We start from the raw sequence: 19776 nt of genomic DNA, 5'->3' as shown, positions 1-19776 counted from the left end.
AAAATGAAGTAGGGTAAAGAGACAGAGACATGGGGCTAAGAATAGTACCCCTCACACAAGAGTTGGTGTAAAGATTAAAAGAAATAATCCATGTGAAGGGCCTCGTACAGAGGCTGGCACCATATGTGCTATGGAAACATTGGCCACCGATGTGATTTCCATGCTGGGCTCGAGGTTCAAGACTCCGGAGCTCTGCCCCCCAAGAGCTTTCAGCATGGGGTAGCGTTTCATGAACTGTGTATCAGGACTCACTGGGGCAGCAGCTCTCAAACTCTGTGTGCCATGGACCCTCTCACAAATCCAGTGAAACCCACAGACCCCCTTCTCAGACTCAGAATAATATTTAAATGCCAATACATAAGGGTTTTTTTTCCTCACGCTCCTTTTTTTTTCTTTTTTTTTTTTTAAAGAGACAGGGTCTCACTCTGTCACCTAGGCAGGAATGCAGTGGCATGATCACGGCTCACTGCAGTCTCAGTCTTTCTGGTCAAGTGATCCTCCCACCTCAGCCTCCCAGGTAGCAGGGACTACAGGGGCTTGCCACCACACCCAGTTATTTTTTAAAAGACGGGGTCTCTTATCAATTTTGTAGAAACAGGGTCTCACTATGTTGCCCAAGCTGCTCTCCGAACTCCTGGCCTCAAGCAATTTTCCTGCCTCGGCCTCCCAAGTGCTGGGATTATGGGTGTGAGCCACTGCACTTAGCCAAATACATAGGTTTACAAAGGAAACCTACTGAAATGCAATTTTCAAAATATTTTAGATGTGTGATGTAGTAATACAAGTGCTTCTTTATTAACAAATTAAATAACAAGATCGGGCCAGGCCTGGTGCTCACACCTGTAATCCTAGCACTTTGGGAGGCTGAGGCAGGAGGATCACTTGAGGCCAGGAATTCAAGGCTCCAATGAGCTATGACTGAGCCACTGAACTCCAGCCTGGATGACACAGCGAGACCCTGTCTCAAATAAATAAAAAGTTCCAGCAATTAGTAACGACCACAATTTTGAGGTAGTGAAGATCATAAATGTTATTTTGAGACATCTGCAACAAACATAACGAGATACAAAACAATCTGTGATTTTTCTTCTAGAGACAAGATCTTACTCTGTCGCTCCAGCTGAAGTGCAATGGCGTGATCATAGTTCACTGCAGCCTTGAACTCCTGGGCTCAAACGATCCTCCCACCTCAGCCTCCTGAGTAGCTGGGACTGCAGGTGCATGCCACCACTCCCAGCCTGTGATTTTTGTGTGTGTGAAACATAATTACTATGAAACATATTACTATGATTTGTTGCCTATATTCATACCTAAAGGAAGTGCTGTATTTCAACTAGAGGTCAGTGAAAATAAAATTATATCGTTTTGTTCTATACAAGTTTGTAGACCCAGATTATGAACTCCTGCATTTGGGGGTTTTGACATATTTCATGGGTCATGACTAGCAATTTTGTAATGAAAGAATAAAATAGACTGGAGTAGAATAAACTAGAATCGAATCAAAGTCAGCATGCATTGCTCATAAAAGGTAAGTACAGATTCATGAAACTTTCATGTCAATTGTGTGTGCATGTGTGTGTGTTACAGGTCATGCTGCAAAATATACTTCTTCCTGCAACTTGACAGTCAAAAATATCTGAAACACAATGGTGTACAGGCACACAGGCCCAGCTCAGCCACTGCCACATTGCAGGCACCCGCAAACACCCCTGTCCTTCCCTCTGATCCCTGTCAGCCTTGGCTTGGTCCCTGTCTGCTCTCCTGCCCATGCACAAGTATGCACATCACATTCAAGCTTATAAAAGGCCACGTTGTCTGTGACTGCACAGCTTTCCCCCCTCCTTGGGGAGAGGAACAGGTGTGGCAATGCCCATGTCCTGAGCTCATCGCCTGTTTGAGGACCTATCCCTCCTGATGATCACATGGCCCCACAGCAAATATTAGGAGAGCCAGCTGGTGGCATGTCTGAAGGTGCCAGGCTGCAAAGGGTTGGGGCTAATGAAACCACCTCTGATGAGACCCTGTAGGGAACTAAGGCAGGGCAGATGTTTCTGTGCTTTTCTGTACATGTGTGCATTCTTATTCCCAATCCTAGCTATTGAAGGGGATAGCCTGGGAGAGGGAACGTGAATCACAAGAACAAACTTCTAAAGGAATCTACTCTCCAGTCTCCCGAGTGCAAAGGAGTTTGACATTCTGCAGATAGGAGGTGAATGAACTAATGATTGCACTCAGATGTGTGGGCAATTAACTCTGTACTAATAAGCAGGAAATTGGTAAAGGGAAAAGATAAGCTTTGTGTCAGGGGTGGGCGTGGGGGATGGGGAGCCAAGCTGCAGCTCAGCCTAGTGGTTCAGAATAGAAACTTTGGGGTCTGAAACATCTGAGTTCAGATCCTGGCTACCCCACTTCTTCGGTGTGTGATTTAGGGCCAGTCATTGTCTCTCTCTGCACCTTGATTTTCTAGTCTGTCAAATGGGGAAATAATAGCATCTACCTCAAAGGGCTGCTGCTGAGGCTTCGATGGAAGGATATGAAGTGCTTATGAACAGGCATTGAGTGAGTGTTCAATAGCGGTAGCTCTCATCCTAACCATCTCTATTATCCCACTGCAGCCTGGGGCCTAGCTATGTTCCTTAATGGGTATCTATGCCAGGTGCTGTGGCTCACACCTGTAATCCCAGCACTTTGGGAGGCCGAGGTGGGTGGATCACCTGAGGTCAGGAGTTCGAGACCAGACTGGCCAACATGGTGAAACCCGTCTCTACTAATAATACAAAAATTAGCCAGGCATGGTGGCACATGCATGTAATCCCAGCTACTTGGGAGGCTGAGGCAGGAGAATCACTTGAACCCGGGAGGCGGAGGTTGCAGTGAGCCGAGTTTGTGCCATTGCACTCCAGCCTGGGTGACAAGAGCAAGACTCTGTCTCAGAAAAAAAAGGGGGGCGGGGAATCTATTGTTCAGGCTCAGCATCTCACAGTGCCAGAAATAACAAAGAACATATAATCAAACCAGTTAACATTTACTCAGAATCTACTGGGTGCCAGACACTGCTCCAAGCACTAATTAGCATTTGCTAATTTCTTAGCAACAACCGTATGAAATACAACCTATGAAGTCATCATCAAAGGAGTCATCATGAAATTATTATCATCAATGACACTGTGAAATTACCACAATATTTAGTTTACAGATGAAAAACTGTATTCATTACCTATTGCTGTGTAACAAATTATCCCAACACTTAGCAGCTTAAAACAACAATCGTCACTTACATTTCACACAGTTTCTGTGGCTCAGGTATTTGAGAGTGGCTTAGCTGGACGGTTCCTGTACAGACTCTCTTGTGAAGTTGCAGTCAAGACAGACATCAGCCGGCGCCAGGCACAGTGGCTCATGCCTGTAATCCCAGCACTTTGGGAGGCTGAGGCAGGAGGATCACTTGAGGCCAGGAGTTTGAGACCAACCTGGGCAACATAGTGAGACCCTGTCTCTACAAAAATAAAAATAAAACTAGACAGGCATGGTGGTACACGCCCGGAGTCCCAGCTACTTGGAAGGCTGAGGTGGGAGGATAGCTTGAGCCCAGGAGCTGAATAATATTCCATTGTTAGAATATCCTTTATTATCTAGCTGTGGAAGTCACACACACTGTCACTTCCAAAATACCCTGTTGGTCCCACAGGTCAGCCCTATTCACTGCCAAAGAGGGCCACACAAAAGAGTGAGCGCTGGAAGGTGAGAGTCATTGGAGCCATCTTGGAGCCCAGCTATCACAGAGCCAAGGCCCAAGAGGTTTTGTGATTTACCTAAGGTCATGCAGCAGGCCAGGGACAGCCCCAGGATTTGAGCCCAGATTGTGTAACACCAGTGTGACGTGTGACCACCCTACTGTAGGTGATAACTACAGAGGTATCACCACCCCTCTGTCCACACCTCGGCATGGCTTCCGCCAGTAAAGGAAGAGGTACCTGGAGAAGTGGAGACCCCCTGGACAGGTTAGAAGGCCTGGAGTAGAGTCTCAATTCTTTGTTTGTTTGTTTGTTTGTTTGTGATAGAGTCTCGCTGTGTCACCCAGGCTGGAGTGCAGTGGCTCGATCTCGGCTCACTGCAACCTCCATCACCCAGGTTCATGTGATTCTCCTGCCTCAGCTTCCCAAGTAGCTGGGACTACATTGCACACCACCATGCCTAGCTAACTGTTGTATTTTTTATTTTAGTAGAAACAGGGTCTCACCATGTTGCCCAGGCTGGTCTCAAACTCCTGGGCTCAAGCGATCTACCTGCCTCAGCCTCTCAAAGTACTGAGATTATAGGCGTGGGCCACTGCACCCAGTGGAGTCTCAGTTCTGGCACTAATTCACCATGTGACCTTGGGCAAGGCACAGCCCATCTCCAGTCCTCAGGCTTTTTTTGTTGTTGTCAGGAAGAGGCAATAATAGCTACTTCCCACATTTGAGGTAAATAAAGAGAATGAATGCATCGTATAAAGCTTAGTCCACAGACCGATATGCAGAAATAATACATTAACTTCTACATTTTTTAAAAAAAAGTTTTTTTTAAACTCGGTAATAATTTCACGTGGTGCCCAATGGGAAAGATATAAAAGGATCTGCAAAGAAAATCTCCTTTTTTTTTTTTTCTTTGAGACAGGGTCTCTGTCACCCAGGCTGGAGTGCAGTGGTGCAACTACAGCTCATTGGAGCCTCAAATTCTCAGGCTTAGGTGATCCTCCAAGCTCAGCCTCCTAGGTAGCTGGGACTACAGGCATGCACCACCAGACCCAGCTAATTTTGAAGGGCTTTTTTGTAGAGACAGGGTTTGGCCATGTTGTCCAGGCTGGTCTCGAATTCCTGGACTCAGTTCAAGGGATCCACTCGCCTCAGCCTCCCAAAGTGCTGGGATTACAGGTGTGAGCCACAGCGCCTGGCCCGAAAATTTCCCTCTTACCCCATCCTTTGGCCACCCAGTTTCCCTCTGCAGAGGCAACCGCTGTTCCTAGTGTCTTGTTGAAATATCACATTTCTTTATTTCCTTAAAACAACCTAATTTCCAAGGACCTGCTGAGCTGGAGATAATGTAAGCTCAGCCCTTCTTGGGGCAGAGGAGCCTGGATCTCACCTGGCATCAAGACAAGGATGGTGGAGGGGGCAGGCACTTCTAGTTATCCATTATCTAGCCACGTTAGTGACTTTGGAGATGTGCCTTGTTCCAGGCATGTAGAATCCTCAGAGCCAAGTAAAGGGAGGAGCCGAAACCTGAGCGCTACATTACTCCAGTAAGTCCAGGGTGTTGGTCCTCAAAGCATTAAAGAGAACCTCAAAATTGCAAGCATGAAACTCCCCAACAGTGATGGATGGTGCTGCCTCTCACTGGAATAATATGCATTACTTAAAATTTTAACTGTGGACAGCATGGAGATATTAAAAGTTCTTAAGCTATAATGTAAAGTTAAAAATAAATACATTCTAGACACAACTAAGGTACTGCATCTTTCAGGAGGCTTTGCTCATCTTTTCTCCTATCAAAAGCTATTAGGTTGTGAAAAGCAATTGCAGTTCTTGCCATCACTTTCAATGGCAAGAACCACAATTACTTTTGCACCAGCCTAATAGGTCAGGTGCTTTTTCTGGGCTCCCACAGCCTTCAGAGCCTCCCCCATCACAGGTTTCACAGCACAAGGCTTTAACTCCCAGTGGCTTCAGTGAGCTTGTTAAACCAGCAGAGTGGGGAGCCGGATGGCCTGGCCACAATCTTGGCTCCTCTGTTTTCTAACTGTATGGCCTTGAGCAAGCTATTTCACCTCTCTGTGCCTCATGAACTGGTACAAATAATAGTTCCAAGGGCTGTAGTTAGGATTAAATGTGATGTCTCTTTGTAAAATCCTTGTCACACTCAATAAATGTTCGTTACTATGGTGTTTTCCTCTCTGCGCCAGACCACGAGTTCCATGCAGCCAACAATCTTGTCTTGTTTTTGTTTTTTTTTTAATTGAGACAGAGTCTCACTGTGTTGCCTAGGCTGGAGTGCAGTGGCACGATCTCGGCTCACTGTAACCTTCACCTCCCAGGTTCAAGCAATTCTTGTGCCTCAGCCTCCTCAGTAGCTGGGATTACAGGCACATGCCACCACACCTGGCTAATTTTTCCATCCTTAGTAGAGACAGGGTTTCACCATGTTGGCCAGGCTGGTCTCAAACTCCTGACCTCAAGTGATCCACCCGCCTTGGCCTCCCAAATTGCTGCGATTACAGGCGTGAGCCACCGTGCCCTGCCTCTTGTCTTTTTCTTAGCTGTGTTCCCAGCACCCAGAATAGAGCCTGGCACCAGGAAGGCACTCAGAAAGGGTTTGCTGAATGAGTGCAGGCATTCATTCCACAAATATTTATTAAGGTGCTTAAGAAATCTGTCTCTCTGAGCCAGATCCTAGGGGGACAAAGCTGAAGGAGACACGTAGTCTGTGCTCTAATGGGGTTTATACTCTCATGGGAAAGACAGCCAATAAATAAATAGGCAAATAAGTAAACAAGAAAATACAAACTATTGCTCAGTGTGATGGAGAAAATGAAATGGGTGTGATACAGAGTAACTGGAGAGTGTTTCTCCAGATGGGCAATCAAGGAAGGCCTCCCTGAGGTGCTGTCTGTGAGACAAGCCATGGAAGGAGCTAGCCACGGGATGAGCTAGGAGAACAACCTTTCAGGCAGAGAGCACGGCAAGTGCAAAGGCCCTGAGGCAGGAATGCTCTCAGGAGGCCAGCCAGACTGAAGAAGGATGAGGGAGGAGAGTGGTGGGCAGGAGCAGGGAGGTTAGCAGGGGTCCATCACGCAGCCCCTTGTCAAGCAGGATAAGCAGACTGGAGTTCCCTCTGAGAGAGTGAGCAGCCATTGGGAAGTTTCAGTGGGGGAGGGGTGACAACACCGCCCTTGCATCCAGGAGCTCCCCACACAACGAGAACAGTCCCAGCCTAAATCTGGAGGCATCTGCTTCTCAAGGCAGTGTCTGAGCTCAGCCTGGATGGCTGGGCCTAGGAGCTGCTGCCATCCATCCTTGTCTCTGCCACGTCTCAAGTCAGGCTCGAGTCCCCATTAATATAAATGAGGCCCTTTGCTGACTCGATTTCCAAATGAGTCCAGACATTCAAGCTCTCTATTCCAGGAAATGTGAAATTTATGTAACGAAAATTAAAAGAGAAAGCGGGGAAGCGCCTCCTTAAGTGCCTGCTTCCCGGGTAAGCGAGCCAGTTCTGTGTGTCTGGCAGAAGATGGATGAAGGTGCCATCAAGGGCTGCTGGGAGCCTGTGGCCATCAGGGAGGATGGGAGCAGGGTGGCCGGGGAGCCCCCTGGGTCCCCTTTCTTCCCTCAAAGAGGGAGCCATGGTAGGAATGGAAAACCAACATTATGTTCTCACTCATAAGTGGGAGCTAAGCTATGAGGATGCAAAGGCATAAGAATGATACAATGAACTTTGGGAACTTGCGGGGCAAGGTGGGAAGTGGGTGAGGGATGGAAAGCTATAAATTGGGTTCAGTGTATACTGCTCTGGTGAAGTGTATACCACTCGGGTGATGGGTGCACCAACATTTCACAAATCACCACTAAAGATGTAACCAAATACCACCTACTCCCCAAAAACCTATGAAATTTAAAAAAAAATTTTCTAAAAAAAAAAAAAGAGAGCCATGGTAATAATAGTTTATGTTCATTGCTGCATGTCTAGCCCTGTTCTGAGTACTTTACTTTCATGGATCATCTCACGACAGCATGATGGGGTAAGCACTACCATTTTTCCAGATGGGAAACTGAGGCTCATATTAGAGAAATGACTTGATCAAGGTCACAGAGCAAAACAGTGGCCATAACAGGACTCGGGTCTATGTCACTAATACTCACACAAACCCTCTTGTCCAGAGGTCAGACCATGTGGAATGGCAGAACGGCTCAGGAGTAGAGACCTGGGCTTGAATTCAAGCTCCAACTACCAACCTGCTGTGACCTTGGATAAGTCACCTCCCTCCCTGAGGATCAGTTCTTGTACAATCAGAGCCCCTTCCCCATGGGATTCATCTCTGAATTAAAGGAGATAATGTACAAAGATGCCAAGCACAGGATTTCAGCTTCCCTCTCAAACTGGCTTTTAAAAAGAAAAACAAGTATAAACTCACAGAATTGAAAAATCTTAGGGTAACTGACTTCAGGTGTGGCTGGATCCAGGGGCTTTAAAGATGTCATAAGGGATGAGTTTTTCCTCTCTCTCTCTCTCTCCATGTAGTAGACTCTCACTGGGAATTCCAGGGTTACAGAATTCTCACAGCTAGAAATCCTGATGAAAAGAGAGCTCTTTTTCCCAACAGGGCAGCAAAAATCCCAGGATTCACTCTGATTGAACCAACTTGGGTTAGATACTCGTCCTATAACTAATCTCTGGAGCAAAAGGGATGGAGTATGCTGATTGGGTCGCCTGGATCACACCCCCACCCCTGGAGTCTGAGGGAGGGGTACAGAAAGCCCAGGTGAAACCACTTGGACAGTAAAGGGAAGAGGCTAGGTTCCCTAAAGGAAAACTGGGGTGCTTTTACCAGAAAAATCAGGAGTGGCTGCCAGACCAGCACAAATGCCAGCTTATACTCTTGGCACATAGTAGGCCCTAAGCAAATGTCTGTTCAATGGAATGAGCAAATATCTACCCCCAGAGATGGTGGTAAGGATAAAATAAAATAATGTATGCAGAGTCCCTGGCGCACAGTCAGCACTCAATAAATCTTGTTTTAAAGGAACAAAATGTGTTCAGATTAGGTTTGGATTCTAGTCATGTGCTGATGAGCCCAGATGCTGGAAGGAGCCAGAAGGAGAGGCTTCCCTTGCCTCATCCCTGCCTCCCGCACATTCATTGCCCAACTCCAAGGCAGGGCGAGGACCAGCATTAAGAGAGTGAGGCACTTGCCTCTGATGCAAATGTAAGATGCACCCAAAAACTGAGTAATCAAGAGAAATAATATCTTAATGCAATATTTTTTAAAAATCAATACTGAAGCAAAAGTCCATGAGGAATGAAATATCAACATCTTAAAGACATTCATATATACATATTTGCATATCGTTATATTTAAATATCCGGACACATACACGTGTGAACATTTTCACAGACATTTTACATTGATTTCCTTATATATATGCTCGGGGCCACTGCGCTGCACTACACCAGGGGGTCCCATTTCATGGCAATCAGTGTGAATGTCACTCCCTGAATTGTTCAGGCACAGCCTCTGTGACTGAACACAGCAGCTCTGTACATGAACAAACATGTATGTGCATTGCCACCCATGTGGACAGGCATAACCACCTATATGCCACCAATGTGTGCCACATAACATCACACACACAGACTTGCCAAGAGATATGACTACATGATACAGTCACATACATGCTCATGCTCCTGCCTCAGGGCCTTTGCGCTTACTGTTCCCTCTGCCTGGAATGCTCTTGCAAATAACCTGTGACTCCCTCTTTTACCTTCTTCAAGTTGTACTCAAAGGTTACTCTCTCAGTGAGGCCTTCCCTGACACACTCACATCCCCATGCATCAATTTTTCTAAAATTGCAACAGCTCCCCTGCAGTTGGAATCCTCCAGCCCTGCTTTCTTTTTCTTCTTATTGTCATCTGATATAATATCTATTTTCCTTTTTGTCATATTTAATGTCTATCTATCCCTACTAGAATGTTAGCTCTACTCTGCCAGGGATTTTTGTTTGCTTTGTTCACTGCTGTGGTCTCAGCCTCTAGAACAATACGTGGCATGCAGTAGGTGCTCAATAAGTATTTGTTGAATGAATGACAAAAGCCAGGGAAGTAGGGATCCCTGAGGATGATTGAGACCAAATTTCCCACTACCCCAGCAAGAAGACAACCTAGAGTCAGATGTAGATTGATGTCAAGAATTAAGGCACAATGCAAGGTGCATTGTAAGTGCCGTGAGACTATTATCTCATTTAATCCTCATAACAGTCCTATGAGGTACTACTGTCCACCTTATTTTACATTAGAGGGAACTAAGGCACCGAGAGATTAACTCACTTGCCCAAAATGCCACGGCACAGAAGAGGCAAAGCTGAGATTCAGACCCAGGCAGCTTGGCTCCACACAGCCCAGACACTACACACACACACACACACACACACACACACACACACACACACACACTTAGGTAGCATCACCAGGCCCTCCCAGCCTTCAAGCAACTCTCAGAAATGAGAACTCCCAGCCGGGCATGGTGGCTAATACCTGTAATCCCAGCACTTTGGGAGGCTGAGTTAGTCAGATCACTTGAGGTCAAGAGTTCCAGACCAGCCTGGGCAACATGGTGAAACCCCATCTCTACTACAACTACAAAAATTAGCCGGGCATGGTAGCACACGCCTGTAATCCCAGCTACTCAGGAGGCTGAGGCAGGAGAATCACTTGAACCCGGGAGGCAGAGGTTGCAGTGAGTCGAGATCGCACCACTGCACTCCAGCTTGGGCGACAGAGCGAGACTCCATCTCAAAAAAAAAAAAAAAACCAGAAATGAGAACTGCCTCCCCCCAAGACTGAGTGTTTAGGGTCCCCCCATTTCCCAGCCCCCACTCCATTGTCCCCACTGCTTCCCAGCCAAGAGCAAACCTGCGTCCCTGGTGACGCAGGAAGCTGTAGGCTGTCCGGTTGTCATGGCGACAGCCGCTAGCCCCTGTAAACAGTCTCGCCTCCTGGCTGCCTGGGTGAATCGCTCTCACCACCCTCAGACGCTGTGCTCTGGGCCTTGCTGCACACTTGACCCGTTCTTGGTGGCTGGTCGAGCCAAAGATCCAAATGTCTCTGCTGCTTCCCACCTGGGGGGTTGAGGGGACAGGGGGTGTAGAAGCAGAAAACCTAGGTCCTCATCACCCTTTCTGCCCCTTCTGGGCTGTGCGACCTTGAGGAGTCCCTTCTCTTCTCCATGACTCAGGTCTCTTGTCCCTGCTTTACAGGGTGGTCATGAGGAGTTGATGAATTCTTTTCTTCCTTCCTTCATTCATTCAATAAATAATTATCAAACATCTACCATGTGCCAGGCAATGGCCTAAGTGCTAGGGATATCACAGTGACCAAGGCAGACCTGGTCCTCTGGGAGATACACAACAAACCAGTTCTGGGAAGAAAATAATATAGGCGAATGTGTATGACAGGGGAAAGAAAACAGGGCTACTTTTCTTAGGCGATCAGGAAAAGCCTCCCTGAGGAAGTACCATTTGAGCTAGACCAAAAGGAGAAGATGGCCAAGCAAAGCGATGGGAAAAGAAGTATTCTAGGAAGCAAGTGCAGCGTGTGCAAAGGCCCTGAGGCAGGGATGACTCAGCCTATTTACAGGACAGAAGGCCCTTTTCTCAAAATAATGCTAGGAGGGCGGGCCCAAGGTGTGAACTCTGGTGCTGCAGGTGGAGGGAGAGAAAGTGGACATTGACAACGGCTGCTGTGTGGGACAGCAGAAAGAGACGCTTTCATAGCCAGCTGCCACAGGCGCAGCTTCCAGCTCCCGGAGGGGCAGCCCTCAGACTGGGGGTCTGAGCTTCTGCACCAGGATAAAGCAGAACAGTAGCAATAACAGTGCAACATATTCCAGATGCTTTGCCTATATTAACTAGTTTAATCCTTACTACCCTAAGAGAGAGGTTACTGTGATGATTAACAGAAAAGCTGAACACATACCTGGCTGCAAAGCCCATGATCCCAGCTACCATGCTGGAAGCTCTATAAATGAGCAAAGAGACTCAGTCCAAAGCCTCCAGGAGTGGTGGGGACAGTGGCGGATGTGGCCTGTATAGAGGACTCCAGCTCCAGCCCATGTGGCAGTGTGTGGGAATGCAGACTCACAGTGGCAAGATGTTCTAATTTTCTAAAATAAGCCAGACTGTTGTGTGAACTCTCCTGATTTTAAAACGTTGACTCTATTGTTATTTTAAATATCAGACGGTCAAATAAGACATAGCATCATTCTAGACCTCCAGATGAGACCAGCTGCATAATTTGTGGGGTCCAGTACAAAATGAAAATGCAGGGCCCCTTGTTCAAAAATTAAGAATGTCAAGCCAGCGACAGCAGAACGCTAAACCAAGCTCAGCATTCTTGTGAGTGTGGGGCCCTGTGCAAATGGCTGTGCATGTGCATGATGCCAGCTCTGCCTCAAACGTGGGCACTTCCTAAGAACTTGTTGAATTAAATGGAAGGAAGGGGCCGGGCACGGTGGCCCACGCCTGTAATCCCAGCACTTTGGGAAGCCAAGGCTGATGGATCACTTGAGGTCAGGAGTTCCAGACCAGCCTGGCCAACATGGTGAAACCCCGTCTCTACCAAAAAAAATACAAAAAATTAGTCAGGTGTGGTGGTGCATGCCTGTAGTTCCAGCTACTCAGGGAGCTGAAGTGGGAGAATTGCTTGAACCTGGGAGGTGAAGGCCGCAGTGAGCTGAGATTGCACCACTGTGCTCCAGCCTAGGCAACAGAGCAAGACCCTGTCTCTAAATAAATAAATAAATAAAGGGAAGGGAAAAAGGAAGGAAAATGAACATGTGTTGGCACCTACTATGCATCAGACATAGCTTTATAAAATAGCAACACTTTATAAAGCACTCACCACGTGCCAGGCACCGTAGGCATTAATGCATTTAAACCTCACAAGATGGTGCTCTTGTGAATCCCATTTTCCAGATGAGGAAATTGGGACTCAGGGAAGTAAAGCCACTTGGTCACTGCTAATACTGGGGTAGCAAGGGGTGAGGGAGAACAAATGGAAAAAATAAGAGGAAGACCAAGGCAAGAGGAAAAGAAGCCACCCCAAGCCTGTCTCCCAAGCTGGGCTGCACTCAGGTCTCTGCCAAGACCGCGTGGAATTTGGGGAGGCCGCCACACCCCGGAGAAGGGCCCGTGGCATTTCTGAATCACGGTGCCATCCGCCCCGGTTTGGCTTCTCTCCGGCGATCCAATTACTAAATGTAGCCGCATTCTTTAAAAATGTCTTTCCTCTTATGTAATGCAATAGTGACAAACGCCAAACAGATGGTGCTGTGACAAGCTTTTTAAAAGTTGATTAGGAGCTCATCTTTCAAAATTAATGTATGGGCATTTAAACAAGCTCCAGCCGGCCACAAAACTCAATTGAGAATCCATATGGGACAAATCGCTTGATGGACTGGCTACATTGACCACCTTCCCGGCCAGGGTTTGACGTGAAAAGTTTGGGGAATGGTAATAGCACGGGTCACGTTGACTTGTGAGCAATGGGCAAAAGATACCTGGTTTGGGCAGAGGGGAAAAATGCCTTGGGCCTCCCAAAAGCCCAGGAGGCTGGAGCCTCCTCAATCTATTTACCAAGACTTTTTTATTTTTTTTTTCAAAATTGTACATTGTCTTCGAGAGAGCGGACCGTCTCTCCCTGCCTCGGGAGGGAAGCGGGTTAGTCATAAACTATGTCAGATGCTGCCAGCGAGCAGCTTCACCCCCACCCTTTCTTCCTCAGTGTTCAGGGATGAGATCATTTCATTTGGAGCCAATTATAGACGGAGAATGCTGGGGATGTGCAAAGAAACCTCCTCAGAACCCTTCCCTCCCACATCACAGGCTGTACCCTGCCAGGATGGGCAAGAACAAGAGGCCAGGCGCCCAGCCCCAGGTTCGACCCCAGGGTTTCTGAAGGCCATGCATTCCTAAGCCTTAGCTTGGACCTGTCAAGCTAGGATGCCAGGCTGTTGGCTAGACAAACCCTGTTGGCCTCAAAAGTTCAGGGCTGTATGGGCCCTTAAAGATCATCGCTGTTCAGATGAGGAAACTGAGGCTCAGAGAAGGGAAGTGGCTTGCTCAAGGTCCCATGGCAAGTTGGCAGCAAAGCCACAGAGATGAATGGTGGCTTCTCTGCCACCCACGAGGAGGATGTCTGTGGCCTGAAACATTCCCAGCATCCATTCCCATTGCTTCTGATACAAGGGTCCCGAGTTTTCCTTCTTGGTTCACGTGGTTCAAGTAGGACTGACCATGCCTCCACTTCCAAGGATATGCACCTGACCCAGCACCGGCCAATCAAAACAGTGCATTCCCCCACCCTCCCCCCACCCATTGATTCAGGAATATGAACCAGGGGTGTGAGATGAGCCTGGTCAATAAGCAGCAACCCCAGACCTGTAGCTGAGACTGAGACCATTGGAAGTGAGATGCTGTCTTCAGCTTTGTGATGCAGAATGGGGAGGAAGAAAGCCTAGAGCTGCTGGCAGCCATTAGTGCCACCACAGGATGCCTACCTAAGCACAAAGTCAACAGAGAGGAGAGCAAGGCCAAAAGAAAGTGAGGCAGTGGCTTCAACCTTTAAACCCCTGGATCCAGCCATACCTGAAGGCAGTCTTATCCTGGATATTTTCTTTACATGAGTCAATAAATTATCCTTGCTCGAGCTGGTTGAGTTCTTTCACTCATTTCCCAAAGGGCCTTGACTGATAGACTTGGAGGTCCTCAGGTGTAGGACAAGGCTCCAAAACATAACACTGAGTGCTCCTCGTCTCCATCCCCAACACATTGCTGGCCTCTTCCCCAGAAGATTCCCTAAGTCCCTGCACAAGTTCCAGCAACACACTCCAAAGGGAGTACCCAAGGTAAATGTCCCATTTTATGGTACGCAAGAAACGGCTCTGCCTTCTGGGTACCCATAACCAAGCTGCTCCCCACCACAGCCTCTGCCTTCCTATTTCGTCAAGAGCACAAGCTTTGCAGTCCAGTTCAAAGCCCAGCTCCAACGTTTCCTAATCATGAGAACTTGGACAAGTCATGTGACTATCCTGAAGCTCAGTTTCCCATCTGTGAATGGGGAAAAGATCACCTACTTTACACGATCCATGAGAGGATTAAAACAGGCACCACCACTATTTAGAGGCTGAAAAAATGGGTAGCTACCAAGAGCTACAAAAAGTCTATCCTGCAGAGCTGGGGCAATTGTCGAGCACGGTGTGTTTGGGAAGACAGCACCTACACACATCAAATGATTTCCACCTAAAACAGCTTCCTGCAGCCAAAACAAGTGTACGGGTAGAGGCAGGGAATGCTGGCTGTGGGGTACGAGTCGGACAGCCCCTTGCTGGCCTCGTGGCCATCTGCTTCTTTCTCCCCTCCGCTGCCCCTTGGCCCAGGATTCTCGCCCCAGACCAGCACACACAGGTGCTACTGACATTCTCACCCAGTGATTCATTCACACTCCCAGAGAGCAGCAACAGACAGTGATTCCCAGGAGCGTCCAGAGTCCTGATTTAGGAAGGAGGATAGAGTAGCAGTAACATTTGAACAAGTTCCTGCCCAGTCCCAAGGACAGCTGAAAGATAAACCTCCTGCTCCAACCCCACCGCAGGGAAGCCTGAACCTGCCCGCTTAGAACCAGGAAGAGATTGAGCTATGATTCCCCCAAAAGGTTCTTTATTCATTACAGCGGCGCTTCCTGAAGCGGGGGACTCACATTTTAGGTCGTTTTACCCGAACCCAGGATGTAGCATTAAATAACTGACTCCAGTACTGATCCAGGCTACAAGATGGGAGAACCTTGAAAACATTCTGCCAAGTGAAAGCAGCTAGTCACGAAAGACCACATATTGTGTGATTCCATTTATATGAAATGTCCGGAATAGGCAAATCCATAAAGACAGAAAAAGATTAGTGATTGCTGAGGGCTAGAGGGGTCGGAGGAAGGAGAGGCTGCTAACGAGTACAGGGTTTCTTTCAGAGGAGGATAAAAATGCTCTAAATTGGACTGTGGTGATGGTTGTACAATTTTTTCTATATACTGAAAAGAATTGAACTGTACACTTTAAATGGGTGAATGGCATGGTATGTGAATTCACTGTTAAAAATGTTTATAACAACTGACTCCTAAAGGAAAAAAATTAGCCTCCTTTTAAGCCTTTTTTTTTTTTTTAATTTATTTTGAGACAGGGTTTCCCTCTGTTGCTCAGGCTGGAGTGCAGTGGCCCGATCTCGGCTCACTGCAACCTCTGCCTCGCAGGCTCAGGTGATCCTCCCACCTCAACCCCCTGAGTAGCTGAGACTACAGGCACCCACTACCACACCCAGCTAATTTTTGTATCTTTTTTTTTTTTTTTAGAGATGGGGTTTTGCCATTTTGCCCAGGCTGGTCTCAAACTCCTGGGCTTAAGCAATCCTCCCACCTAGGCCTCCCAAAGTGCCAAGATTCCAGTATAATTTTTCTAATTTGTCAAGGAGCAAGTCTCCATTGGCTATGAGTGTGTTCTTCCTATCACTCCACACTGGCTGGTTTCTTGTCTGAATCAGGAGAACAGGCTTCATGCTCAGCATCTTGAGCAGGCAACAGTGGACTTCTCTGGTTTCCATTGTATTTATTTTTCTGATTGTCTTTTTTTTTTTTTTTTTTTTTTTTGAGACAGAGTCTCATGCTGTCACCCAGGCTGGAGCGCAGTGGTGGTGCCATCTCGGCTCACTGCAACTCCATCTCCCGGGTTTCAAGCAATTCTCTGCCTCAGCCTCCCAAGTAGCTGAGATTACAGGTGCCCACGACCATGCCTGGCTCATTTTTGTATTTTTAGTAGAGATGGAGTTTCACCATGTTAGCCAGGCTGGTCTCAAACTCCTGACCTCAGGTGATCCACCCGCCTCGGCCTCCCAAAGTGCTGGGATCATAGGCGTGAGCCACCATGCCCAGCCTGATTGTCTTCTTAGTATAGCAACTGATCATTCATTTATTCATTTGTTTTTATCAACAAGTATTTATTGAGCATTATTGTGTGTCAGGCACTATTTTAGGCCCAGGGACACAGAAACCAAAACCCCTGCCCTCATGAGGCTGATATACTGTGCAGGGAACCTAAGCAGTAGGTGCAGCTCCTGAGTTCGAATCCCCACTCTGCCACTCACTAACTGCAACTTCCAGCAAAGTGGCCAAACCTCTCTGAACCTCAGTTTTCTCACATGTAAAATGGGGATAATCATTGCATCTAACTCAGAATCCAATGAGTGAGTATGTATAAAAGGCTGAGACAGTGCTTGGCACTCTTACGGGTGCTTAATAAATGTTTGCTATTATTGTTTATTTTATTTTATAATTGTGATAAAATGTTTCCTCTTTAAACATATATTTAAGTAGTTTTCTTTTCAAATAAATTTATTTGAGTAAAGAAAAGAAGGCTGGGCATGGTGACTCACACCTGTCATCCCAGTACTTTGGGAGGCCGAGATGGGTGGATCACTTGAGGTCAGGAGTTCGAGACCAGCCTAGCCAACATGGTGAAACTCCATTTCTACTAAAAATACAAAAATTAGCTGGGCATGGTGGTGTGCACCTGTAGTCCCAGCTACTAGGGAGGCTGAAGTGACAGAATCGCTTGAACCTGGGAGGCCGAGGTTGTAGCAAGCAGAGATTGTGCCACTGCACTCCAGCCTGGGTGACAGAGGGAGATTCTGTCAAGAAAGAGGGAAGGAAGGAAGGAAGGAAGGAAGGAAGGAAGGAAGGAAGGAAGGGAGGAAGGGAGGGAGGGAGGGAGGGAGGGGGGAGGGGGAGAGGGAAGGGGGGGAAGGGGGAGAGAGAAGGGGGGGAGAGGGAAGTGGGGGAGGGAGACAAGGGAGGGAAGGAGGGGCTGCGCACGGTGGCTCATGCCGGTAATCCCAGCACTTTGGGAGGTCGAGTTAGGCACATCACCTGAGGTCAGGAGTTCAAGACCAGCCTGGTCAAATGGTGAAACCCCATCTCTACTAAAAATACAAAAATTAGCCAGGCATGGTGGTGCACGCCTGTAATCCCAGCTACTCAGGAGGCTGAGGCAGGAGAATCGCTTGAACCCTGGGAGGTGGAAGTTGCAGTGAGCTAAGATCACCCCACTGTACTCCAACCTGGGTGACAAGAGTGAAACTCCATCCAAAAAAGAGAAAAGAAAGAAAGAGAGAGAGAGAGGGAAGGAAAGGGAAGGGAAGGGAGAGAGTTCATTAAAAAATTAAGTATACAATAAGGAGAATAGGGCAAGGGCCAGGAGAGTGTGTCTGGGAGATGAAATGTGGGAAGCCCTGAATGGGCAGGAGATGTCAGTAGGACCGTGACTCAGCTGGCACTGAGTGGAAGCATAAAGCTATTTTCAGTGTCAACATAACGACAAGGCTTGTTCCTTCAGTCTCAAAATTGCAGATTTCTCCCAACTCTTTGGTTCTGCGGGATCCCAAGCCCTGCAGTTTCCCTGCCATCCCCGAGGCTTTGGAAAGACGGTTAGGGGGTGCAGACGCTAGATGAAGACGAGGCTGTGGACCACAGGGCAGGAACAATGCCGGAGCTGCCCTAGCTTCTCCCAGGTCCCTCGGCACCGGGGATGGCTGGCCGCTTGCCACAGCCACATCTTGTTCCTGCAAGAGATGGGGCTGGCTCAGTCGAATGATGGCTTTCCTGGGCTCCAGGGATGTTTGCTTTCAGGGACCCTCCCTCTAGCTTGTGACTGCACTGTATAAAGACAAGTAAAATCCAGGCTGGATTTGTGATCCACTAATATTATTATTATTATTATTATTATTATTATTATTATTATTATAGCATCAGTTTTTTTCTTCTGGTTTTAAAAGAAATTAAAATTAAAATGTCTTTGTGGGCCCTAAAAGTGTATGGGCACTGGGCCCTTGTAAGTCACCCTGGGGATGGCCACAGAGCCAGCGACCCTCAGAGGCCACAAGGGCATTCCAGAGTCAGTTCTGAGGGTCTGGGGAGGTGGCTCGATCACGTCCCTGCTGGGCAAGGCTGGGCAAGTTGCTTAACTGCTCTGTGCCCCCTTTTCCTCCTCTGTTGAGGGGCCACACCACGGAGTGGCTAAGAGCACAGGCTCTGGAATCAGGTGGCGTTTGGGACCTGGCTCCTAGGAGCCTCTCTCTCCTCAGTGGAAGATGGAGATATCAATAATCTTTGCCCCTCTGAGGTGTTGGTGGGGAGGTCATCTGAGATGCTGTGTGCAAAGAAAATAAAAATGATCATAATAATAGCTAACTGACTGGGCGTGGTGGCTCATGCCTGTAATCCCAGCACTTTGGGAGGCTGAGGCAGATAGATTGCTTGAGGTCAGGAGTTCAAGACCATCCTGGCCAACATAGTGAAACCTCACCTCTACTAAAAATACAAAAATTAGCTGGGCATAGTGGCACTTGCCTGTAATCCCAGTTACTCAGGAGGCTGAGGCATAAGAATCTCTTGAATCTGGGAGGTGGAGGTTGCAGTGAACTGAATCCGTGCCACTGCACTCCAACCTGGGCGACAGAGCCAGACTCTGTCTCAAAATAATAATAGTAATAGCTAACTATTTCAGCAACAAGAATGAACCAGCTAATGCTGCAAGTGCAACCACGTGGATGAACGTTGGAAACCTCATGTGGAACAAAGGCAGTCGAATTCCAAAGAGCACATCCTGCGTGGTTTCACTGATGCAAAGTTGGAAAGAAACAAAACAAAACGAAATGAAATGGAACTATAGTGTTGAGGGCTCCACATCGAGTTCCTAAAGCTGGCAAGGATGTCGCACAATGGATCACCAGAGAAGTCAGGGCAGAGGCCTCCTTTATGGGGAGGGAGGGACTGAGGGAGGGGGCGTGTGCAGGTCTCGGGGGCTGGCCAGGCTCTGTTCCTTGCCTGGGCAGTGTCTACCTAGGTGTGTGACCTTCCCAAATGTTTGTGAACCTGTTCATATATTTTAAAGCCAATTTTCTGTAGGTGTAATCCAAATCTTTTGTAAAA

At 47.6% G+C, this 19776-nt stretch overlaps 1 long non-coding RNA gene across 2 annotated transcripts in view; it reads right to left on the bottom strand.

Moving 5' to 3' along the window:
* LOC105372649 (uncharacterized) overlaps window positions 1-19776 on the bottom strand; it is a 108687-nt gene that overhangs the window by 80294 nt on the left and 8617 nt on the right. Inside the window, exon 3 of one of the 2 annotated variants that reach the window (XR_936820.3) lies at window positions 17973-18407. The exons of the other annotated variant lie outside the window; for it this stretch is intronic. This is a non-coding gene — a long non-coding RNA (uncharacterized LOC105372649). Of the gene's footprint in view, window positions 1-17972; window positions 18408-19776 lie in introns of those variants that run through there. 2 annotated transcript variants of the gene reach the window in all.

Source organism: Homo sapiens, chromosome 20 (assembly GCF_000001405.40).
Source record: "Homo sapiens chromosome 20, GRCh38.p14 Primary Assembly".
NCBI classification, from domain to species: Eukaryota; Metazoa; Chordata; class Mammalia; order Primates; family Hominidae; genus Homo; species Homo sapiens.
This window is presented reverse-complemented; position numbering and strand designations above follow the sequence as displayed.